Raw genomic sequence first — 2,142 nt, forward strand, 5'->3', positions numbered from 1 at the left:
AAACAAAACGAAACAAAACTAGACACCTGCATTATATGTTCTTTATATAAATAGTCCATCCTGAATAGCAGAATGAAATGCACACCAAATGCTTCTAAAAGTCTGTGTGCCTAGATCACAATTACAGTCTTCGCACACTGAAAAGAAAAAGAACAATAACACAGAACATAGTATTTTCAATGATTATAGCAAATTAACATTTTCAGCCATTCAGTGGCTTTTTAAGATCATGTTGGCAACTTACATTATATATATATACACACACACACACACACACACAAGGGTTTGCTTGACTAAGGTCACTATTTCAGAGAGCTTTGAAGCCATTCTAGTAGCTTTTCTGCTAGTAGTGCCTTAGCATCATTAACTAGTGAACCTTGTAAATGTACCACAACAGATATTTTAATTTCAAAATCTTTCACAGCCAGAACTATACCCTGTGTAATAACATAACATCAAGTGATTCCTCCAAAAATGTTGACCAGAATAGCCAGTACCTCTTTTTATCTGAAGTGATAAGCATAAGTGATTCTGTTACTTGATGGACTGTAGCACTAACATGAGCAACAAGGAATCTGTTTGGAGTCTCTTTATGAAGTTTTCTTATACCTATTGTGGTTATAGCCAAACCAGCACCATTTACTAGACAGCCTATTTTTCCACTGAGGCCAGTGTTATTGAGATGTGGCTTAGCTTCATCTTTGTTCCTTTCATCTTCCTGAGTCCAGTCCTGTAGATCAAAGATCTTCTGGCGATAGACTGAATTAGAATCAAAATTGATCTTTGTGTCCAAACATAGCAGAGCTCCATCTGAATCTTATACCATTGAGCTTATTTTTATCATGGTTGTGTTGTAGTTCAGAAAAAGATTGTAAAGCTTGACCATGTTTTCTGCCACAGAATCCACAATAGTAGATGGAAATCTTATATTCTGTGCAAGCCGGAGAGCTTGTTCCTTTTTGATGCCTTCTACGACATCAATAGATTCTTTATTACATCAGGAGTCTCAGCAGAAACATCTTCAGTGTTGACACCACCTTGCAAACTTCCTATTTATACTGGACCTTGAAATGACCTTTCCATTGTTACTGGAAAGTAGTATTCTCTCCTGGGATATTTTTGCTCACAGATCAATACTTGATTGCATATTTTGTCCTTTTCTCCTGTTTACTTGGTAAACAACTTTTTCCCAATAATTTGAGAGGGAACAGCTTTTTCTTCTTGATAGAAAACTATCTTCACTCCTCTTTTGGGACTGCTTCCAAATGTTCCTTTTTGTCTACCACAAGCAAAATTCTGTGCCATTATCACAACATCTTTAGAACCTAATTTTTTGACAATTGCGTCAGCTTCATCTGGTGACTTTGCCACATATCCTTTGGAAGGGAGACACCAGCTTCTTGCAACAATTTCATATTCATATATTCATGTAGTGAGAGATTCTTTTGCTGTTACTGCTGTACTTGGAGTTATTGGTTATTAAACAGCTCAGAAATTCCCAGAACCTGGGCAGTAGACTGTACTATGGTCTGGTCTGGGACTGATGGCTGTGAAAAGTGGCAGCTAATTGTCAGCTATAGAACATGAAGGCCACCATTCCTAAGTCTGACCCTGTCCCCTCCTGCTGTGTGCCTCCAGCTGCTTTGTAATAGAGAATTTCCAATTCTCTTTTCCCTTTCCTTATGGCATTGCTATCATTCACTCTACTTATCCATATGCTGTAATCATCTACTATATTGTTGCTGTTATAACTTTAAACAAACTTTTTTATTTGGGATCAATTATGAATTAGAAATTAAGCTATTAGTAATAGCTTAATAAGACATTAATAAGAAAAAAGAAAAGATTTTATTTTACCTTCATGCATTCCTTTGCTGACACTTTCTTTTCTTTGGGTAATCTTAGTTTTGGCCTATATCATTTTCCTTCTCCCTAAAGAATGTTTCAAATTTCTAAGTGGGCAGGTCTACTGGCAATACATTCCTTTAGCTTTTGTTTCTATGAGGAGCCTTTATTCCTTCATAACTTTTGAGGGATTACTTTACTGAATATATAATTATGGAATGGTGGTTTCATTCTTTCAAAACTTAAATATTTAACTCCATTCTTTCTTGTTTGAATGGTTTATGTTAAGAATTCTGA

The 2,142-nt window shown here is 35.8% G+C and overlaps 1 pseudogene; it reads right to left on the bottom strand.

Moving 5' to 3' along the window:
* Positions 338-1,601, bottom strand: SUCLA2P2 (SUCLA2 pseudogene 2; annotated as a pseudogene).

This window comes from Homo sapiens, chromosome 2 (genome assembly GCF_000001405.40).
Source record: "Homo sapiens chromosome 2, GRCh38.p14 Primary Assembly".
In the NCBI taxonomy this organism is placed as follows: domain Eukaryota; kingdom Metazoa; phylum Chordata; class Mammalia; order Primates; family Hominidae; genus Homo; species Homo sapiens.